Below are 22,274 nucleotides of genomic sequence, written 5' to 3'. Positions count from 1 at the left end.
CCATCATTCCAGGTGAATTCACTAAAGCCCAAGGTGGTGAGTACAGTCTGTATTCCAAAGTCTGGGCAGGTACATGATGGGATTGGCCTTTATGTGCTGTTGAGGGCTTTCTTCCAATGAAAAGTGTACTCCTGGGTCACCCCACTCTCCTGCAAGACAGGCTCTCTCAGCCCTTGCCCTATAGGTCACCTGGATGTCATCTCAAACAGAACTCGAAAGGCTGCCAAGACAAAGAGCCTGAGGCCTCAATCCCTATCATTTCTCCAGGTGCTGAGAGGGCCATTTCCCTCTACTATATTCAGCTGAACTACTCCATCCTCAGCCTTCAATGCTGACAGCTCCTCCAGAGCACCTCCAAGGAGAGTTCTTAAGAAAGCATTAAGGACAAAGAGCCAGCAGGGTGTGGTGGCTCATGTCTATAATCCCAGCACTTTGGGAGGCTGAGGCAGGAGGATAGTTTGAGGTCAGGAGTTCAAGAACAGTCTAGGTGACCTGGTGAAACCTGGTCTCTACTAAAAATGCAAAAATTAGCTGGGAGTGGTTGTGGGTGCCTATAATCCCACCTACTTGGGAGGCTGAGGTGAGAGGATCGCTTGAGCCCAGGAGGCGGGGGTTGCAGTGAGCTGAGACCACACCACTGCACTCCAGCTTGGGTGACAGAGCAAGACCCTGTCTCCAAAAAAAGAATCAAGGACAAAGAACCCATCTATAGTGTAGTCACCACAGCATCTACACTCCAGACACACAGCTGCAACCATTAGTTACCTAGATGGAGTTGGAAAAATCTTACGACATTGCAAACAACTCATCCTAGCTAGTAGAGGGAATCCTAGTGATTCCAATTTTCTATCATGAGCATAGATCCTTCTATAATCAGAAAGGAAAATCAGAAATTCACTTAAGAAAAACACTCTTCTTCCTGGGCTATCTTTCTTCTCCTAGCCCCAGAGCAGCCCAAGCCACAGCCATGCTGCTTCATCTTACTTTGTGTAGCCCGGTGACCTTGGGCAGATACTCCACAGAGTATGTCTTGTTCTTGTCACTGTCAGGGGTCACTTGTGCCTAGGAGGGAAGGTGGGCAACAGTTAGAAAAGGTGCCGGGTGTGAGTAAGGAGCATGCTGTGTCAGCAGGGGTTCTGCAGGAGCTGCCAGGTCGGAAACACTGAAGGTGCTGGCGAGCTCCTGTCCCTCTTGCACAACGCCCCTAGAGAGAAACTGCTTGAAGTCACAGAAACAAAACCATGCAGCACAGAGGCATAACAGAGTCAGGACTCTCCAGTGTCCAGTGTCAGGCTGGCACTCTCTAGGTAAGAGAGAATATGAAGCAAGAAACTTAAACCTTTATCCACTCAATAGTTCATTGAAAGCTTATGAAATGCAGGGCCCAGTGTTAGGTACTAAAAATAAAACATGAGCAAGTCAGATACAATCCCTGCCCCGGTGGGGGAAATGGACCATCCATCTGTAAACTTAGAATTGCAAATTATGCTAAATGCCAAGAATAAAATATGGTCCTACGAAAATAAGTGACAGAAAGAACAGCATGTGCAAAGGCTCTGAGGGAGGAACCAAAGAATGGCCAATGTGGGAAGAGAGCAGGGCAAGACTCTTATTATTCTGGCCATCAGTATATAAAACCTCAACTGAGGCTGGGCACGGTGGCTCACACCTGTAATCCCAGCAGTTTGGGAGGCAGAGGCAGGTGGATCACCTGAGGTCAGGAGTTCAAGACCAGCCTGGCCAATGTGGTGAAACCCTGTCTCTACTAAAAATACAAAAATTAGCCAGGCGTGGTGGCAGGTCCCTGTAATCCCAGTTACTTGGGTTACAAAAATTAGCCGGGCTGAGGCAGGAGAATCGCCTGAACCCAGTAGGTGAATGTTGCCGTGAGCCAAGATTGTGCCACTGCACTCCAACCCGGGCAACAGGAGTGAAACTCTGTCTCAATAAATAAATAAATAAATAAATAAATACATACATAAACCTCAACTGACAAGGCACCTTTGCTAAATCCAAAGTATCCTTTATTTCATTAAACACTGTGTCCCTGGCAATCAATTTAAATTTGATTTCAAGGCTCACCTCTTGGGCAGGTTACTTTAACAGCTATAAGCCTCAGTATCCTTTTGGTAAAAAACACTTTTGGTTGTGAGCTGAAATGAAAATGGAGGCACAGTCCCTGGCCGCATTACAAGCCCCAAAAGCTCCATGAGGTGCTGGAAAGGAGAGGCAGCATCCTCCAACATACCTCCTCTTTGTTCCCTTCTGGGTCCTCAACAAACACCATCACGTCTCCTTGCCCGGCGCTGATGGTGTCCACAGTGAACTTGGCTGGCTGCTTCACCATGTTTCCAGTGGGCTCGATTCCTGCCACAGGTTTACACAGACATGTTAGAAGCCAGGCGAGGGTGTGTCATGAGCCATCGCCCACTGCATCTCTTTCAGGGAACTGAGAGATGGGACCCAGCCCTGCAGATCCCATGTGGGAAATGGGGACAAACTGCCTTGACAAGGAAAATCAGGCAGGTCGAAAGCCTTAATTTTGCCCATGTTATTGAAGTAATATCCAATTTTGATATTCAGAGAACCTCAGTCAGGAGTCTATATAAAATTGTGGAAATAATGTGGTTAATAAGTAGTAGCAGAGCTTGCCTTGATGGAAGCAACACAGCAGGGAGGAGCGAAGCTTATTTCTCATTAAACAGCATTTATTGTATTGCCTGACATTTTTAAAAATTATATTCAATCATTTTTTTAATTAACCTTTTTATTTTAAGATGATCGAGCAAATTCATCGAGACAGATTTTACCTGTAGGTGTAAGAAACAATGCCCTTGCTGGGAGCGGTGGCTCATGCCTGTAATCCCAGCACTTTGGGAGGCTGAGGCAGGTGGATCACCTGAAGTCAGGCGTTCAAGACCAGCCTGGCCAACATGGTGAAACCCTGTCTCTACTAAAAATACAACGTGGTGGCACATGCCTGTAATCCCAGCTACTTGGGAGGCTGAGGCAGGAGAATTGCTTGAACCAGGGAGGTGGAGGTTGCAGTGAGCCCAGATCGCATCCTAGGCGGCAGAGCATGACTCCATCTCAAAATAGTTTCCCCAGTGGTAACACGGTAAAAAGCTATGACTCAATCTCACAACCAGGGTATTGACGTTGATACAATCAAAATAGAGAACATTCCCTTTAGCACAGGGAGCCCTCCTGCTGCCCTTGCATAACCACACCCACACTCTCCTTAGCCCTGATAACCACTAACCCGTTCTCCACACTGTAATTTTATTATTTCGGTAACGTCACATCAATGGAATCATAACTATGTAACCTTTTAGGAGTGGCCTTTTTCACTACATATAATTGTCTACAGGTTCACCCAGGTTGTTGCTTCTGTCAATGGTTTTTTTCCTTTTTATTGCTGAGTAGCTAATATTCCATGGTATAGATGTACCACAGTTTAACCATTCGCCCACTGAAGAACATCTGGGTTGTTTCTAGTTGTCTCTTACCAATAAAGCTGCTGTAAACATCTGTGCATAGGGGTGTGTGTGTGTGTGTGTGTGTGTGTGAACATAAGTATAAAATAGTAAGAAATTATATATATAGGTCTCTGCCCCTGGTTCCAGAGTTCCTAAACCCCTTGGAATGTCCTTGGTGACAAGAGCATCTTCTGTTCTAATCAGGCAACTCTTAGTGGGCTCCCGGATAGCTTTCAAGATGTGGCTAATCAACAGAAAGACCAAGTCATGATCAGAAGCTTAGAACTTTCGGCCCCACTCCCCATCCTACAGGGAAGGGAGAGGAACTGTAGTCTCAGTTAATGTCAATCACGCCTACGTGACTTAGCCTCCACATCCCTGAAGTATGGAGTTTAGAGAGCTTCTGGGTTGGTGAACACATCCATGTGCCAAGAGGATGGCCCACCCCAACTTCATGGGGACAGACGCTCCTGTGTTCAAAACGCCTCTAAACTTTGCCCCGTGCACCTCTTCATCTGGGGCATCATCTGTATCCTCTATCATATCCTTCACTACACAACTGCTAAAGGTAAGTGTTTCCCTGAGTTCTGTGAGCCACTCTAGCAAATAACATAACATGAGGAAGGGGTAATGGGACCTTCTGATTTGTAGCAAACCTGGACAGAAGCTGTGGGTTACCTGAGGACCCACCACTTCTGACTGGCCTCTGAAGTCAGGGGCAGTTTTGAGGGACCGAGCCCTTAATGGCGTCTGCACTAACTTCAGGTAGATAGTGTCAGAATTGAAGGGAATTGATTATAGGACACCTACTTGTTGTCCACATAAAATTGGAGAACTTGTCAGTATGGGGGACAGAAATCCATAGATTTTGGTGACCGGAAGCGAAATACTGAGAGGAGTAGTAGAGAAGATGAGAAAAGTTTTTTTTCTTTAGCTGTGAGACTATAGAAGGAAAAACAGTGGCTCTCATATACAGTAAGTTTTCATTCCTCTGGGATAAATGCCAAGGAGTGCAATTGTTGGGCCATATGGTAGTTGCATGTACTGTTTTTTGAGGTTTTGTTTTTGTTTTTGTTTTGAGACCAAGTCTCACTCTGTAGCCCAGGCTGGAGCACAGTGGCACAATTACGGCTCACTGCAACCTCGACCTCCCAGGCTCAGGCAATCCTCCTGCCTCAATCTCCTGAGTAGCTGGGACCACAGGTGCATACCACCACACCTGTATAATTTTTAAAAATTATTTGTAGAGATGCAATCTCCCTATGTTGCCCAGGCTGGTCTCAAACTCCTGGGCTCAAGTGATCCTCCAGCCTCAGCCTCCCAAAGTGCTGGGATTACAGAAGGGAGTCACTGTGCCCAGCCTATTTCTTTATTAAGAAACTACCAAACAGTGTTCCAAAGTAGCTACACCATTTTACATTCCCACCAGCAATGTATGAGTGAGTGATCCAGATTCAGTTTCTCTCCATCCGTTCTGCATTTAGTGTTATCAGTATTAATATTTTTTATTTTAGCCGTTCTGATAGTGTGTACTAGGATTAATTCGCATTTTTCTCATGGTTAATGATACTGAACAAATTTCGATGTGTTTTTTTGTCATATGGACGTTCTCTTCAGCAGAAACTGTTTATGTCTTTTGCCCATTTTCTTATTGGGTTGTTTGGTTAAATGTTTGTCTGTTTTTTAACGACTAAGACTTGAGAGTTCTTTCTACATGTTCTAGATACTAGTGTTCTGTTGGACATATGGTTTGCAAATTTTTTCTCCCAGTCTTTAGCCTGTATATTCATCCTCTTAACTGTAAAAAGTTTTAAATTGTTTGTAAAAGTAAAATCCAGCCCCCAGATCCCAGTCTCAGCAACATTTTGAGTTCTGTTTGAGACGGTGTCCGGGTGGCTTTTATAGTGTGAGGGCTAAGACAGCTTGTCTTGCAGGACAGTAGGTGACCCAGGAGTGCACCCTTCAATGCAGGAAAACCCTCAACAGCACATAAAGGCCAACCACCATGTACCATGTTGAGTCTTTGAGACAGACCATCCTTCTTAAAACATTAAAAAGTTTTTAATTTTGATGAAATCCAACTTATTTTTTTTTAATGGATCATGTTTTTGGTGTCAAATCTGAGAACTATTTGCCTAGCTCTAGATCTCAAAGATTCTCTTCTATGTTTTTTTCTCAAAGTTTTATAGTTATATGGGTTTTTTGTTTTTTGGTTTGGGGTTTGCTTTTGTTTTGTTTTGCCTAGGGATGTTCAATTTCTCTGCCACCATGTGCCGAAAAGGTTTTTTCCCCCAATGACTTATCTTTGCACCTTTGTCAATAATCAGTTGTGCATATTTGTGTGGGGCTGCAATTCTGTTTCACTGATCTATAATGTCTATCCTTTGACCAATACTACAAAATCTGGACTTCTGTAGCTATACAGCAAGTCTTGAAATCAGGAAGGCTGATTCCTCCATGTTGTACTTCTTTCTCAAAATTGTTTTTGCTACTTTAATTCCTTTGCCTTTTCATATAGGTTTTAAAATAATAATCTTGCTATCTGCAAAAACTCTTGCTGGGATTTTGACAGCAATTGCATCAAACCTGAATGACAATTTGAGGAGAGGTGGTATCTTTACTATTTGACTTTTTTTTTTTTTTTTTGAGACGGAGTCTCGCTCTGTCGCCCAGGCTACAGTGCGGTGGCACAATCTTGGCTCACTGCAAGCTCTGCCTCCCGGGTTCATGCCATTCTCCTGCCTCAGCCTCCCGAGTAGCTGGGACTACAGGCACCCACCACCACGCCCAGCTAATTTTTTGTATTTTTAGTAGAGACAGGGTTTCACCGTGTTAGCCAGGATGGTCTTGATCTCCTGACCTCATGATCCGCCCATCGCCCACCTCGGCCTCCCAAAGTGCTGGGATTACAGGCGTGAGCCACCGAGCCAGGCTGTTGACTGATTTTCTAATAGTGAACGAGGCCTTGCATCCCTGCAATAAACCCCACTTGGTTATAATGCATACTTCTTCATTATATACAGCTCAATTTTATTTGCTAATATAGTCATTTGCTAAATAATGAAGTTTCAGTCAAAAATAGTCCACACATACAATGATGGTCCCGTAAGATTATAAATAGAGCCAAAAAATTCCTGTTGCCTACTGACGTCACAGTAACGCATCGCATTACTCATGTATTTGTGATGATGCTGGTATAAACAAACCCACTGGGCTACCGGCCATAGAAACATATATAGCACAGACAATTATGTTCAATACATAATACTTGATGATAAATGACAATGCTACTGGTTTATGTATTTAATATGCTATACTTTTTATCATTATATTTTAGAGTGGGCATCTTCTATTTAAAAATTAAGTTAACTGTAAAGCAGCCTCAAGCAAGTCCTTCAGGAAATATTCTAGAAGAAGGCATTGTTATTATAGGAGACGGCGGTTCCACACATTACTGCTCTTGACGACCTACCAGTGGGACAGTGGGACAGGATTTGGAGGTGGAAGATAGTGATAATGATGATCCTGACCCTGTGTAAGTCTAGACTAATGTGTGTGTTTAAAAAAAAAAAAAAGTTTTAAAAGTACAAAAATGAAAAGTTTTAAACACAGAAAAAAGCTTACAGAGGCCGGGTCCAGTGGCTCACACCTGTAATCCCAGCACTTTGGATCACCTAAGGTGGATTACCGAGGTGGATCACCTAAGGTCAGGAGTTCAAGACCAGCCAGGCCAACAGGGTGAAACTACGTCTCTACTAAAAATAAAAAAATTAGCCAGAAGTGGTGGTGGGCACCTGTAAGCCCAGCTACTAGGGAGGCTGAGGCAGGAGAATAGCTTGAACCCAGGAGGCAGAGGTTGCAGTAAGCCAAGATCACTCCACTGTACTCTAGCCTGGGTGACAAGAGCAAAACTCCACCTCAGAACAAAACAACCAATTGTTGTCCAGTTGAAGGATTCTTTTCTCTGTCCTTCCACCCTGCTATTGCGCTTATCCAATAAGTTTTTATTTCAGTTACTGCAATTTCCAATTCTAAAATGTCCATTTGGTTCTTTTTATCTCCTAAATTTTTATTATTATTTTGCTGGGACATTGTATTTCTTTGTTGAGATTTTTAATTTTTTCATTTTTTTCATGATTGTTCTTAACTGCCTACCGAAGCCTTTTTTTTTTTTTTTGAGATGGAGTCTCACTCTTCTTGCCCAGGCTGGAGGGCAACGGCATGACCTCAGCTCACTGCAACCTCCACCTCCCAGTTTCAAGCGATTCTCCTGCCTCAGCCTCCCGAGTAGCTGGGATTACAGGTGCCCACCACCTCACCTGGCTAATTTTTTGTATTTTTAGTAGAGACTGGGTTTCATAAGGTTGGTCAGGCTGGTATCGAATTCCTGACCTCAGGTGATCTGCCCGCCTCGGCCTCCCAAAGTCCTGGGATTACAAGCCTCCCAAAGTGAGCCACCACGCCTGGCTACTGAAGCCTTTTTTAATGGCTGCTTTAAAATTTTTGTCATAGGATTCTAACATCTCTATCACCTCAGTGTTGGCATCAACTGTCTTTTTCATTCAGTTTGAGATCTTCCTGGTTCTTGGTATGACAAGTGATTTCTTTTTTTTTTTGAAACTGGATATTTGGGGTATCATGTAATGAGACTCTGGGTCTTCTGTAAATGTTCTGTTGTAGCTGGCATTTTATGATACCACTGTGGCAGGGGAGGGAAGGGTACACACCTTGTTACTAACAGTGGGGGAAGAAGTCTAGGCTCTCCATTCAACCTCGACTGATGCTCAAGATTGGGGGGCTCATTACTGGTGCGTGAAGGTGGGAGTTCTGGCTGGAGGAAGTAGGAGTGCCTCATTACTGCTCCTCCATGGCCCCGGAGAGTGGCTTCCTTATTGCTAGACTGTTGTCAAAGCCTAGGCTCCCCATTCACCTCTGCGGGTGTAAGTGTGGGGCTGCATAGTTTTTTCTATGGTGTGGACCTGGAGTAGAGCAGTGACTCTTTAAGTTTTCTGCCTCACTGGGCTGCCCTTTCCTGGTCTTCTGGCTGGACAGGGGAGCTTTTGTTGGCACTTTCTGTGTTTGTGCCCACTGGCATTTTCAGGTTGTCAGCTTCTTTCTTTGGCTCCAAGTCTGGGATATATAAAGCAAAGTAAACCCAAGGAACTCAGTACTGTGTCATTCCTCGAGTCCCAAGATCCCTGGTTGGTCTGCCTCATCCTTTTTCAGAGGCTCCCTGTGTTTTCCTTATGTATAGCCCAGGGGTTTTAGTTGTAGTTAGAAGAAAGAATTAGGAAAAGTCCTATTCCATCTTCCCAGGAGCAGAAGTCCAAATATTACCTTTTTAAAAAGCTTTTTATTATGAAGAATTCCAAACTAGGCTGGACACAGTGGCTCACACCTGTAATTCCAGCAATTTGGGAGGCCAAGGCAGGTGGATTACCTGAGGTCAGGAGTTCGAGACCAGCCTGGCCAACATGGTGAAACTCCGTCTCTACTAAAAATACAAAAATTAGCCAGGTGTGATGGTAGATGCCTATAATCTCAGCTACTCGGGAGGCTGAGGCAGGAGAATCCCTTGAACCCAGGAGGCAGAGGCGGGGGTTGCAGCGAGCCAAGATCATACCATTGCACTCCAACCTGTGAAACAGAAGTGAAACTTCAGCAAAAAAAAAAAAAAAAAAAAAAGGCTGGGCGCCGTGGTTCACACCTGTAATCTCAGCACTTTCGAGGCCAAGGTGGGCAGATCACCCAAGGTCAGCAGTTCAAGACCAGCCTGACCAACATGGTGTAACCTTGTCTCTACTAAAAATACAAAATTGGCGGGGTGTGGTGGTGCATGCCTGTAATCCCAGCTACTTGGGAGGCTGAGGCAGGAGAATTACTTGAATCCAGGAGGCAGAGGTTGCAGTGAGCCGAGATCGTGCCATTGCACTCCAGCCTGGGCAACAAGAGCGAAACTCTGTCTCAAAAAAAAGGCTGGGCGCAGTGGCTCACACCTGTAATCCCAACACTTCGGGAGGCCGAGGCAGGTGGATCACGAGGTCAGGAGTTCAAGACCAGCCTGGCCAAGATGGTGAAACCCCATCTCTACTAAAACTACAAAATTAGCCGGGTGTGGTGGTGGGCGCCTGTAATCCCAGCTACTTGGCAGGCTGAGGCAGGAGAACGCTTGAACCCGGGCAGCAGAGGTTGCAGTGGGCCGAGATCATGCCACTGCACTCCAGCCTGGGCGACAGAGTGAGACTCCGTCTCAAAAAAAAAAAAGAATTACAAACACAGATGTAGAGAGCACTGCACAGTGGACCTCCTGTACCCAGCTTCAACAACTATCAACTCACAGCTGGTCTTGTTTCACCTTCACTCCCGCCACCTCCCCTTCCTGTATTATTTTGACACAAATCCTAGACCTCAGATTTTTTATCCACAATCACTATGTATCCTTAAAAGATACTTGCAAAGTACCCACAATATCGATACCATATAAAAAAAAATAATTCCTTAATGTCAAATATTCAGTGTTCAAATTTTCAATTATCTTATAAATATCATGAATTTCTTACAGCACCTTGAGCTGCTGCTTTATCATGAATTTTTATTTGTTTGTTTGTTTGTTTGAGACAGAGTCTAGCTCTGTCGCCAGCCTGGAGTGCAGTGGCGCCATCTCGGTTCACTGCAACCTCCACCTCCCAGGTTCAAGCGATTTTCCTGCCTCAGCCTCCCAAGTAGCTGGGACTACAGGCACATGCCGCCATGCCCAGCTAATTTTTGTATTTTTGGTAAAGGGGGTTTCACCACGTTGGCCAGGATGGTCTCGATCTCCTGACCTCGTGATCCACCCACCTCAGCCTCCCAAAGTACTGGGATTACAGGCGTGAGCCACCATGCCCAGCTATCATGAATTTTTTTAACCATTAGTTTGAATAGGATCCAAATAAGGTCACATATTACAAATGGTTGCTAAGTCTCTTAAGTCTCATTTAATCTCCGGCTGTCTCTCCACCACTTCCTTTTCCTAGCTACCAATCTGTTAAAGACACTAGGTCATTTGTTACTATACTCTGGATTTCTATTCATTTCCCAATAATTTAGTTTAAGAAAAAATGGCCGTAGACTGTTATATAATAAGATAATCTTTCTGCCTAAAAAGAAAGGTAAAAATTATAAAGAACTACAAATAAATTTTAAAAGGTAGCCTTCCCACACTGCTCAGTAAGAAATGCAAAGCAAAGAAGATACACAGTTTAACTCAGCATAGAAAAAAGGCTAGAAATAAATACCTGAAACTTTGAAGGCAGGAATGAGATTGGCAGTTGGGAAGTGAGTTTCAATTTTTATTTCATATATTTTTCTTTTGCTTAAGATTTACATAACACTCAGGTTATGTAACTGATATAAGCAAATGGATTTAAACATACACCTAATAGCCAAGCATGGTGGCTCATGCCTGTAATCCCAGCACTTTGAGGGGGCCAAGGCAGGGGGATTGCTTGAGCTCAGGATTTTGAGACCAGCCTGGGCAACATGGCCAGGCTGGTCTCAAACTAAAATATTAAAAAAAAAAAAAGCTGGACATGGTGGTGCACACCTGTGGTCCGAACTACTAGGGAAGCTGAGGAGGGAGAATCACTTGAGCCCAGAAGGTCAAGGCTGCAGTTAGCCGTGATGGCATCACGACACTCCACACACAGAGAGAGAGAGTGAGACTCTATCTGAAAACGACAACAACAAAAATAAGTAAGTAAATAAACATGCACCTAAAATACTAAAAGTTCCACTTCGTGTGACTCCAGCAGCCTAAGAAACAACGTACTCTGCAGCTTGTCAAAGGTCTGGGCTTGGGTTGGTCACCCGTGGCTAACCATGGCTGGTTAGAAAGTTGAACCACACCCCAACTCTGTAAACTTCTGCGGAGCTTTGCTTACCATGAAAGGAGACAACTGGTACCCCTCTGATTACTCAGATAGAAGGGTGCTTAAGGATTGCTCTACAGTAAATGCTTCATAGAGAACTAGATTTTTACAAAGATTTCTGATTAGCTCATGGACGAATGCTTTTCACATAGCTAACCCTGCAAGGAAGCCCACCACAAAGATCTGTTTGTGGCTGGAGGTCCACCTCACCCCAGCCCTCTCTCCTTTCAACCCACTAGAACTAAGCAAGGTGGGACTCAGTGAATGGATCAACAAATGCTAACTGGCTGGCAACTGGCATCTATTAAACAATCAGGAAATAAAAAATAAAACAACACTTTCAAATCTTTTAGAAACTAGAAGATGAAACGGTCTCTCTTCCTGGGCTCAGGTGGCAGAAATGAAGCAATGTGGTCACACAGAGAAGACCAAAACTGACCCCGGCTTTCATCTAACCACATGACAGGGACATATCTCACAGCCCCACCCATGTGGCCTTGTGACCCTGTCACCTAATATGACCATTTTGTCTCCTACTTTAAAAAGCAGAGTGAGGCCACTTCCTCCTGAAAAATAAGCTGCATATAGAATTACCATATGATCCACCAATTCCACTTCTGGGTATATCCCTAAAAGAATTGAAAGCAGGGTCTCAAACAGCACTTGTACACCCATGTTTTCATAGCAGCATTATTCACAATAGCCAAAAGAATGTAACAACCCAAATGTCTATCAGCAGACGAATGTATAAGCAAAATGTGATATACACGTACAAAGGAATATTATTCAGCCTTAAAAAGGAATGAAATTCTAACACATGCTACAACATGGTGAACCCTGAAAACATATGACAAATGAAGTAAGCCAGAGAAAAAAAGACAGCATATGATTCTACTTCTAGGAGGTACCTAACAGACAGCGTATGATTCCACTTCTAGGAGGTACCTAACAGACAGCATATGATTTCACTTCTAGGAGGTCCCTAGAATAAGCAAATTCATAGAGACAGGGAGTAGAATAAAGGTTACCAGGAGCAGAGGAGAGGGGAGAATGGGGCGCTATTGTTTAATGAGTATGGAGTTTCAGTTTGGGAAGTTGAAAAAGTTCTGGAGATGGATAGCAGTGGCGGTTGCACAACAACGTGAATACACTTAATGCCACACTTAAAAATGGTTAAAATAGTGAATTTTATGTTATGGATATTTTCCCACAATTAAAAAAATGCAAAAAGCACACATATAAAAAAAAATTTTTTTTTAAAAGGGTGTGTTTCCTCTACAAGTGCACCACACTTGCTAAGAGGCAGATGAAGGAAATGGCAATGACCAGCCACATTCCTGAACCATAACAAGTGATCATTTTCTAGAAAATAGCACCGTGAAAGGAAACCGTCTCACATTAACAACAGGGAAGCCGGATGGCCAGTGATAAGGTTATTACAAACATACACTATGCCTTGATTAGATTCAGTCCATTTGACCAATCTGGTTGACAAAGGATTTAATTGGTTGTTTGCAACTGTTTTGTCATTAAGGAAGCATAACCTTTAAAGTCAGAGATTCCTCATTCCAGCCACCACCTGTGGTATGCCTTAAAGAAAGCACTTTTTTTTTTTTTTTTTTGAGACAGAGTCTCGTTCTGTCACCCAGGCTGGAGTGCAGTGGCGCGATCTCGGCTCACTGCAACCTCCGCCTCCCAGGTTCAAGCAATTCTCCTGCCTCAGCCTCCCGAGTAGCTGGGACTACAGGCTTGTACCACCACGCCAAGCTAATTTTTGTATTTTTAGTAGAGATGGGGTTTCACCTTGTTAGCCAGGATGGTCTCAATCTTCTGACCTTGTGATCTGCCTGCCTCAGCCTCCAAAGTGCTAGGATTACAGGTGTGAGCCACCAAGCCCGGCCAAAGAAAGCACTTTTAAAGAAAGTGAGGACATGCCAGCCTTCAAGTGACTGTGAATGGGAGGAGGGCTTTGAAGTCCCTAGTCCCTACATAACACAAGTGATGTCTCACACACCTCACAACCCACTGCAAACGGAACCTCAAATGGTAAGGGGTTTGTTCCAGAACTATCTGCCGGTCTAAATCATGCCCAAAAAGTCAGATGAGAAGACTCGACCACTGAGGTGAGAACAGCACGTGGTCAGCATCACTGCCCTAGCCATGTGTCGTCTTAAGAATAAGCGGATTGGGAGGCCGAGCCGGGCAGATCACCTGAGGCCAGGAGTTGGAGACCAGCCTGGCCAACATGGTGAAACCCCATCTCTACTAAAAATACAAAAATTAGCCAGGCATGGTGGTGGATGCCTGTAATCCCAGCTACTCGGGAGGCTGAGGCAGGAGGATCGCTTGAACCCAGGAGGCAGAGGTTGCAGTGAGCTGAGATCGTGCCACTGCACTCCAGCCTGGGCGACAGAGCAAGACTCTCAAAAAAAAAAAAAAAAAAAAAGACTAAGCTGATACCAAGCAGGAAAATACTTTATTCAAAGGGAACATTTGTAGGGAAGGAACATCCTACAAGACACATGCCCTTAACTATTCAGAAAGTCAGTGTCATTTAAAAAAAAAAAAAAAAAAGTTTGGGGAAATTATTTAGCATGAAAAGAGTCTAAAGAGAAATAACAAACAAATGTAGTAAGTGAACCTTAATCAGATCTTAGTTTGTAAAACAGCAACAACTATAAAAGATAATCTTAGGACAATAGAGAAATTCTACAACAAACTGAATATTAGATTATATGAAACTATTGTTAATTTTCTTACATGTGGCAATGAATACTGTGGTTATGCTAGAGGATATCCTATTCTTAGGAGAAGCTTAGTGATGTACTGAGGACAGAACTGTCACCATGCTTGCAACTTATTTTCAAATAATTCAGCAATCATACACATGAACACATATGCAAACACACACAAAGGGCAAGAGAAAACTATTAAGCTAGAATGGTAACAACTGTCAATTCTGGGAGAAGATATACAGAATACTGTGTGTATAACTATTATCCCACTGGGATAACATTTTCTTTCTCGTTTTTTTTTTTTGAGACGGAGGCTCACGCACTCTGTCACCCAGGCTGGAGTGCAGTGGCAAGATCTCGGCTCGATGCAACCTCTGCCTCCTGGGTTCAAGCGATTCTCCTGCCTCAGCCTCCTGAATAGCTGGGATTACAGGCACCCGCCACCATGCCTGGCTAATTTTTGTATTTTTTGTAGAGACAGGGTTTCACCATGTTGGCCAGGCTGGTCTCCAACTCCTGACCTCAGGTGATCTGCCCGCCTCGGCCTCTCAAAGTGCTGAGATTATAGGCATGAACCATCACACCCGGCCGATATTTTCTTAATTATGAAAAATGAGAAATAAAATGCACTCCTTCCCCTCCCCCATAGAAAAGGCATTAAGTTGTATCTGGCCATGTTGATCTTCACCAGAAACCACACTTTGCAGCCATGTAACTGTTCTCTTCACAAAGCTAGTGTGCTTGAAGTCAGGTGCCAATCACAACACCAAATGCCTTGAAATGGCTTCTACCCACTATAATGTTCTGAGCAAAACGGTGTTCCGCAGCTGCCTCGCAGTCATAAACAGGATGTCTTAGCAAGGAAGTATCTGCCAGGGGTTAACAATAGCTCCCACTCCGGCTGGAAATCTGAGGCAGGCTTAGTGTAACAGAAGGAGAAATGAATCAGCAGCCAGATGGCCCACCCCCATCACTGACTGTGGTGATCTGGGGCAAGACCAAACTCCCCCGACTCCCTACCCCGCGATTCCTCTTCTGAAAAATGGGAGCAATGGGCTACTGCACTAAAATCACCAAGCAGCAAACTTGCCCTTTCCATCTAAGCAGAAACATTTCTTAAAGCCTTAGAAAAACAAGGCAGAATAAAACAGTCATAAAATGTGTTACAAAGGAGGCTTGGGGTCTCTTTGAGGATTACACCTATCTATTTTTGATTCTAAGAACATCACTCTTGAAGCCATGAAATCATCTCCAACACCAGAGGACATGTCTCCAATACAACACCAGAGGACCAGCACTCACCTCTGCCATAGGCCCTGGCTTTCTTCGGGTTGAGTTTGGGTTTGAGAGGAGCCCCCGGCTTGAGCTTGGCTTTGGGGAACTGGGACAGGTAAGTCATAACTGAGTGCTCGTCCACATCCGGGTGAATGATTTCTTCAGGAGTGATGACCTAGGATAATGACATGGTGGATGAACACCCAGAACACATCACTTTGCAACTATTGAAGTGTTTGCAAATGCCTCTTAAACCAAGCACTACAAATATTAAGAAACTGAGTCAGCTTCTCAATTAAGTGAAATTACTTTAAACCAACACACCAATATCAGTGTTTTTAACCATTTTTGAGAAATTGCAGACCCCTTTGAAAGCTAGGGGCCCCTCTCCAAAAAATTCTGCATGTAACTTCCAAAAGTTCATTGTCCTCCCCATTCCCCAAAAGTCCATTTACTCCTCTGGTCAAAATTTCAAAAATGATAAAAGGATAAGCTATAGCAAGGCAGGAAAATGAAGAAACAAGCACACATGGGATTAGAGCATGTTACAAAAAAGTGCACAGGTTAACCAGCTTTTTCCTTTGCTTGTATACTCATGGTCTGTATCTGTATTAACTCTACTAATTAAAAAAGGTAAATAAAAAAGAAATAACATGTAAATATTAGATATGTGATCTCAATATATTAGGAGCCATTAAAAAAATAGGGAAGCCAGGCGTGGTAGCTCATGACTGTAATCCCATCACTTTAGGAGGCCAAGACAAGAGAAATCACTTGAGGTCAGGAGTTCGAGACAAGCCTGGCCAACATGGTAAAACCCAGTCTCTACTAAAAATACAAAAATTAGCCCAGTGTGGTGGCAGACACCTGTAATCCCAGCTACTAGGGAGGCTGAGGCAGGAGGATGGCTTGAACCCAGCAGGTGGAGGTTTCAGTGAACCGAGATCATGCCACTGCACTCCAGCCTGGGTAACAGAGGAGTAAGACGCTGTCTCTTTAAAAAAAAAAAAAAGGCCAGACGCAGTAGCTCACACCTGTAATCCCAGCACTTTGGGAGGCCGAGGTGGGTGGATCACGAGGTCAGGAGTTCAAGACAAGCCTGGCCAACATGGTGAAACCCCATTTCTACTAAAAATACAAAATTAGCCAGGCATGGTGGCATACACCTGCAGTCCCAGCTACTCGGGAGGCTGAGACAGGAGAATCGCTTGTACCTAGGAGGCGGAGGTTGCAGTGAGCTGAGATCGTGCCACTGCACTCCAGCCTATGTGACAGAGCAAGACTCCATCTCAAAAAAAAAAAAAAAAAATAGGGAATGGGTGAACTTCTCTTGATATTCAGCTTAGGAGCAAGACTAGACCCATCCTGGACAGGTGACTTCCCTGAAGGTGCCACCACCTCAGTTTCAGTACCATCATCTGACCCAGCCCTAAACAGCTTGCAGAGTCCTCCCTGCCTCCAGTAATGGTGCTAAGGAGGTAAATCACACTTCCTCAGATGAACAGAGGCTCTGTCTCATGGACCAGGTTAACCATGTGCAATGAACAACAGATGTGTCCAACTTCCCTCCCCATGTGATAAAAAGCACCAGAAAACATTCTGACCATTAGCCTGCAGGAACAAAAGAGCTACTTGGGTTTGAACAGTCGCCTTCAATACATTCCATAAAAAGTAGGATGTGTGTCGATTTGGCATTTCTTCCCAGCAGCTCCTTCAACAACTTCACCCATGCCAACATCACGTGAACGTAAAAAGGAGACGGTTTAGGTTTAAGCGGAGATGAAAAACACACCACACCACTTCCTGAGGGTGGACGAGCCAAGAAACCAATGAGCCATGTAGGAGAGACATGACTCCAAAACCAAACCAAAGAAACAGGCATGTTGTTCTACCTTCCAAGGGACCCTGTTACAAAATACACTGAACTCAGACCTCAATGCAGCCTATAGTGACGCCATCAGTCCCATGGCACTGGCTACCTGCAATCTTCCCTGGCTAGCCTTTGGACACGGGACTCATGGTGCCTAACTGTTAGAGGGAGTTTCTGGAAAGAAAACACTGGTTTTCCTCCCAGCTAGGAAGATCAGACTTCAACTAAGCAATGTGACTACTGTAGATGGTATCCAAGACTTATTTGATTTCTGAGTTCTCTTGTTATATTCCTGTGATAGGATTATGGGTGATAGAGATTCTTCCACAGTTTCCATTAATGGTGGATTATCCTGGCTTACATGTTTTTAAAAGTTTTAAGTCGGCCAGGCACAGTGGCTCACGCCTGTAATCCCAGCACTTTGGGAGGCTGAGGCGGGCAGATCACGAGGTCAGGAGTTCGAGACTAGCCTGACCAACATGGTAAAACCCTGTCTCTACTAAAAATACAAAAATTAGCCAGGTGTGGTGGTGCGCACCTATAATCCCAGCTACTCAGGAGGCTGAGGCAGGAGAATTGCTTGAACCCGGGAGGCAGAGGTTGCAGTGAGTGGAGATCACACCACTGCACTCCAGCCTGGGCGACAAAGCGAGACTCCATCTCAAAAAAAAAAAAAAATTTTAAGTCCTGTGACTTTTCTTAAGCTATTGGATTAAAATTACCTTTTAAAATGTAGATTGAAAAATGGTCAAATACTATCAATTTCTTATGGCTCAACCTAATAGTTAGGGTCCATATTTGTAGTCTGGGGTTTAAAGGTAGTCTTCAAAATATTTAGAGAAGAAATACTAGAAAATTTGCCAGTGTGTGACAAAGAAGAGTGACATGAAAATTTCTGGATGATCTACATTAAACCAACACACTAAGATCTATAAGCACCTGAGTCAATGAGAACCTACTATTATTATGGGTAAACTGAGGAAGATGAGAGAGCATCACAGGCAATGCTCTCTGAAGTCTCAATGCCAAGAAGGTCGGGCTGCCTGACCCGGGAAGGCATCCACAGAACAAGCTAGTGGGTGGGGGCAGCCTCACAGGACCTGGCACACTTGTGCATACCTGTGGGACACCCAGCCAGTCATCTGCCTGCTGCATGGCTTCTCGTGCATTATCCACAGGCTTCTGCGGGTCCCAGGATTCCCAGTCTGGGCACAGACCTGTTAACAGAACACAAAAGATTCTTTTAGCATTAGCTGACCAAAGAGATTAAAGGAAACCATGTGCCTAAACTAACCCCATTTTTTCTTTTAGTTCAGAGAATGATTTTTTCCTAAAATCTGAGCAAATCATATATTTAATAGGCAAAAAGTATCACAGGTATGAGTGTGCCAGGGTGTAAACTATCCTCCATTACTGAGACTTCTCCTCCGGGTGCTATGTTCTTGCATGAAGATGGGGATTATCCATTCCTTGAAGAAGTGGTGTTAAAAAATAAACAAAGCTTGGAAAAAGCCTGGTGCCTTTATGCAGGAGGGATTTTATTTTTTACTCTATTCCTGGATATATCTAAAAAGTCTAGAATAGCATCCTGTGTGATTCAAAAATCCACTTGCTCAAAGGCACAAACCTAGAATTATCTTAAAAGCCTTTGTAAGCACATGAGGTAAAGGACTAGAGTAAAAACTCCCAGGTTTAAATTGGAAAGAGGTATCCTAAAATGTGTCCTTAAATGGAAGTAAAGAAGAGGATATTAGGAAATCAATTAATGCTGCACTTTGAATTTTTCCTGGATGACACCAACTTATAGGCTCTCAAGTAAGAATGAGGCCTTCAGCCCTCCCCTACCCAACTGACACTAGTTCTGCTTTGAGTATGTCAAGAACCACTAACTAACTAAATACTAATGTGCCCAGTAAATACAGAATACACAGTAAATGGAAAATATGATTAATACCTTTTTTTTTTATTAAAATCAACTTTAGGGGGTGTGTGTAAACTCTGACTCTGGTCTTTCTACTGAGTGTGTACCAGCAAACTCTACCCATCAATCTAAACCCTCCAGTGGGAATAATTACAACCTTCATATACACTCAACCACTAAGAAATGAGCAGCCCATCAAGGGTGGAAAAGGCTCCAACTGGATCCTGACCAAATGCTATTTCACAGCAACACAGAAAGAAAAGGGTGGAGAATGCCATATATAGTCAAACCAGTGGTTAATAAAAATGGGTACTTTCCACTCCATGGAAGTTTTCAGATTTTCATGCCAAGCCACCTAATAGGACCAAATGTTTCTCCAAATCCAATGAGAAACTGAGCACCAATGTGGGAAGACACAGGATTTTGGAGTCTGGAACCTAAACCCAAGTCTTGCTTCTAAGCACCAACTCCTTCATTGGAATTTGGATAAAAGACTCAACTTGATGCTCAAACATGTCTATGGATATACCTAGAAAATCTGCCCTTGGAAGGGTACACAGAGCCAGTTTTAGTTTCCTTATAATGGGCTTATAATGGGCTAAGACCTGGAGAAATACGCTAATCAAAGCAAAGATAGCATTCCCGTTGAAAACCAGAATGTTTGGGACCCACACACCCCCATCCTGGACAGATGGTTTAGGCAGCCCTGGCCACTTACCTGGAGCACAGCTGTCTACCAGGGCTCCCAGGGCTTTGCCGTCTTGCCAGTTCTGGTTAAAGTTGGTGATGGGCAAGTAGGGGATCTTGTTCTGAATCCACCCCAGCAGCCTCTGCTTTGGCGTCTGCTTCTTGGCATCATCATCCCCTTCATCCTCCCACACGGGCATGGAGATGGAGTAGTGGAGGATCAGCGTCCACACCAGACCCAAGATGAGCTTCAGGTTCCCATCCACAATGGCTTTGCTATCTGGGGAGAGAAGCACAGGCTTGGTCATTCCTTTGGGTTACACAAGTGTAAATTATGCTCCTTATATAAATGTAAATGGAGTCTTCAACTATTAGAGAACCATACTGAGATATTTAAGAGTGAAATGATGTAATGCTGAAATTTGCTTCAAAACATTTGAGGACAAAAACAGATGAAATATGATTCCAAAATGCCATTAACGGATGTCACTGGATCATGGGTTCATGAGCATGTAAGACACCACTGTCTCTACTTTTGTATACGCCTAAAATTTTCCATAATAATGGCCAGGTGCAGTGGCACACTCCTGTAACCCCAGCACTTTTGGGAGGCCGAGGCAGGAGGATTGCTTTGAGCTTAGGAGTTCAAGACCAGCCTGGGCAACATGGCAAAACTCCCTCTCTACCCAAAAAAAAAAAAAAAATTAGCCGAGCATGGTGGCTCACTCCTGTAGTCCCAGCTACTCAGGAGACTGAGGTTGGAGGATCGCTTGAGCCCGGGAAGTGAAAGTTGCAGAGAGCTGACGTCACGCCACTGCACTCCAGCCTGGGCAACAGAGTGAGACCCTGTCTCAAAAATTGAAAGAAATCATTTCACAAATATACACAACAAAAAGGAGTGACTGCATCCCAGAGGTAACAACCTGCTAAACTGGTAGTATACAGCCTACCAGATTGTGTGTGTATGCGTGTGTGCACGTGTGTATGTGTATACATGCATGTGTGTTTGCTGCCTGAATTCACGTTTTTCGATAGGTAGGAATTTTTTTCTTTTCATTAATCATTATGTCCTAGATATCTTTTCCCTATAAAAAGTTTGTTTCTGTTTACATTCCTATCTATAGATTTAAGAGGCCAGCTAGTTATCCCTGCAAATCTCACCAATGCTAGGTGTTATCAATCATTTTCATATTTGCTATTCTGACACGTCAGTCATTCTTAAGAGTAAGCCATGACACAAATGCGTCCTGTTGTGAGGAGGATAAGTGCCCAGCCAAAATCATGGCCCCTTTCTAGTCCTTTCCTTGCTTAACAGAACATGCCATGCCATGCCCCTGGCCAGCACCTTCCAGGAGTCTCACTGCCATTTGTTTCCACTTTCCCTGCCCTTGCCTTCTCTGCAGCTATCCATCTCCCGCACCCCCTGCAACTTTCTCTCTCTCTCCGTTTCCCTATACCCACTCTCCAACAAAGATACTCCATAGCCAGCTCCCATTCTACCAGGACCCCAAGCTACAAACATGGGCACTATCCTGGACTCCACCTCTTAAACTCTGGGTATAGTTTCCACAATGTGTCAATTCTATCCCTACCTAACTCTTTTGGCAAACCCTTTTCTATACCCTCCCAATAAACATTTTTGTCTTTGATAGCCTTGAAGCCGAATCACTGTTCACATAACCCCAGAACCATCTTTCTCGTCAGGTGCCTCTGTGCTTCCAAATTCACCAGGGTTCCCGCTGCACACAATCAGCTCCTTAAACATACACAGCACCTCAGAACCTACATAAACCCCATCCAATCCGCTTTCCACTCTTGCCACTTCCACCCACCATACTGCAGGCTCAAAGACTCCTTGTTCCTGGACTACATCTTGCCCTGAGCCCCTGGACCTCTTCACATGTTCTCTATCCCTTTGATGGGAAGACCTTCACCCATCCTCCTGTGGGATAACTCCTGGCTCATCATTCTGACACCAGATTCTACAGCTGGTGGCACTTCACTCCCACCAGCATTTATGTGTGAGTTCCTTGGCCTCCCACCTCATTCCAGAACTAAGCCGCTTGTTGAGGAGTGACTGAGCTATCTGCATCTTGGTGTCTCCCCAGCCACCCACCAAGAGCCACCTGAATGCTGGTTGAACACATGCCAAATTACACTTAATGAAACCCAACCACGACCACATGAAAAGCATACTCACATGCTGATAAGGGGTGCATGGCATGCCACTCAAAAATGAAAGGGTGAGAGCCTTATTTTTTTAATTAACCTGATTATTGTTATATCCTCTTGCAAAAAAAGACCCTCTTTAAGAGCCCACACCCAAACCATCAGAGAGAAATCATCAGAATTTAATTATTAAATTAATTAATCAGAATTAATTTTGCAGGTGCAGAT

The 22,274-nt window shown here is 44.1% G+C and overlaps 1 protein-coding gene across 4 annotated transcripts in view; it reads right to left on the bottom strand.

Moving 5' to 3' along the window:
- The window catches only part of FLNB (filamin B), a 163,830-nt gene that overhangs the window by 75,049 nt on the left and 66,507 nt on the right, over window positions 1–22,274 (bottom strand). For all 4 annotated transcript variants that reach the window (NM_001164317.2, NM_001457.4, NM_001164318.2 and 1 more), the window contains exons 2-6: window positions 19,909–20,157; window positions 18,389–18,486; window positions 15,427–15,574; window positions 2,249–2,367; window positions 985–1,062 (exon numbers count right to left, since the gene is read on the bottom strand). In NM_001164317.2, the coding sequence (NP_001157789.1) occupies window positions 985–1,062; window positions 2,249–2,367; window positions 15,427–15,574; window positions 18,389–18,486; window positions 19,909–20,157 (692 nt within the window). The remainder of the gene's footprint in view (window positions 1–984; window positions 1,063–2,248; window positions 2,368–15,426; window positions 15,575–18,388; window positions 18,487–19,908; window positions 20,158–22,274) is intronic.

Source organism: Homo sapiens, chromosome 3 (assembly GCF_000001405.40).
Source record: "Homo sapiens chromosome 3, GRCh38.p14 Primary Assembly".
NCBI classification, from domain to species: Eukaryota; Metazoa; Chordata; class Mammalia; order Primates; family Hominidae; genus Homo; species Homo sapiens.
Note: the sequence above shows the minus strand (reverse complement) of the source record. Positions and strands in the feature narration are given on the sequence as shown.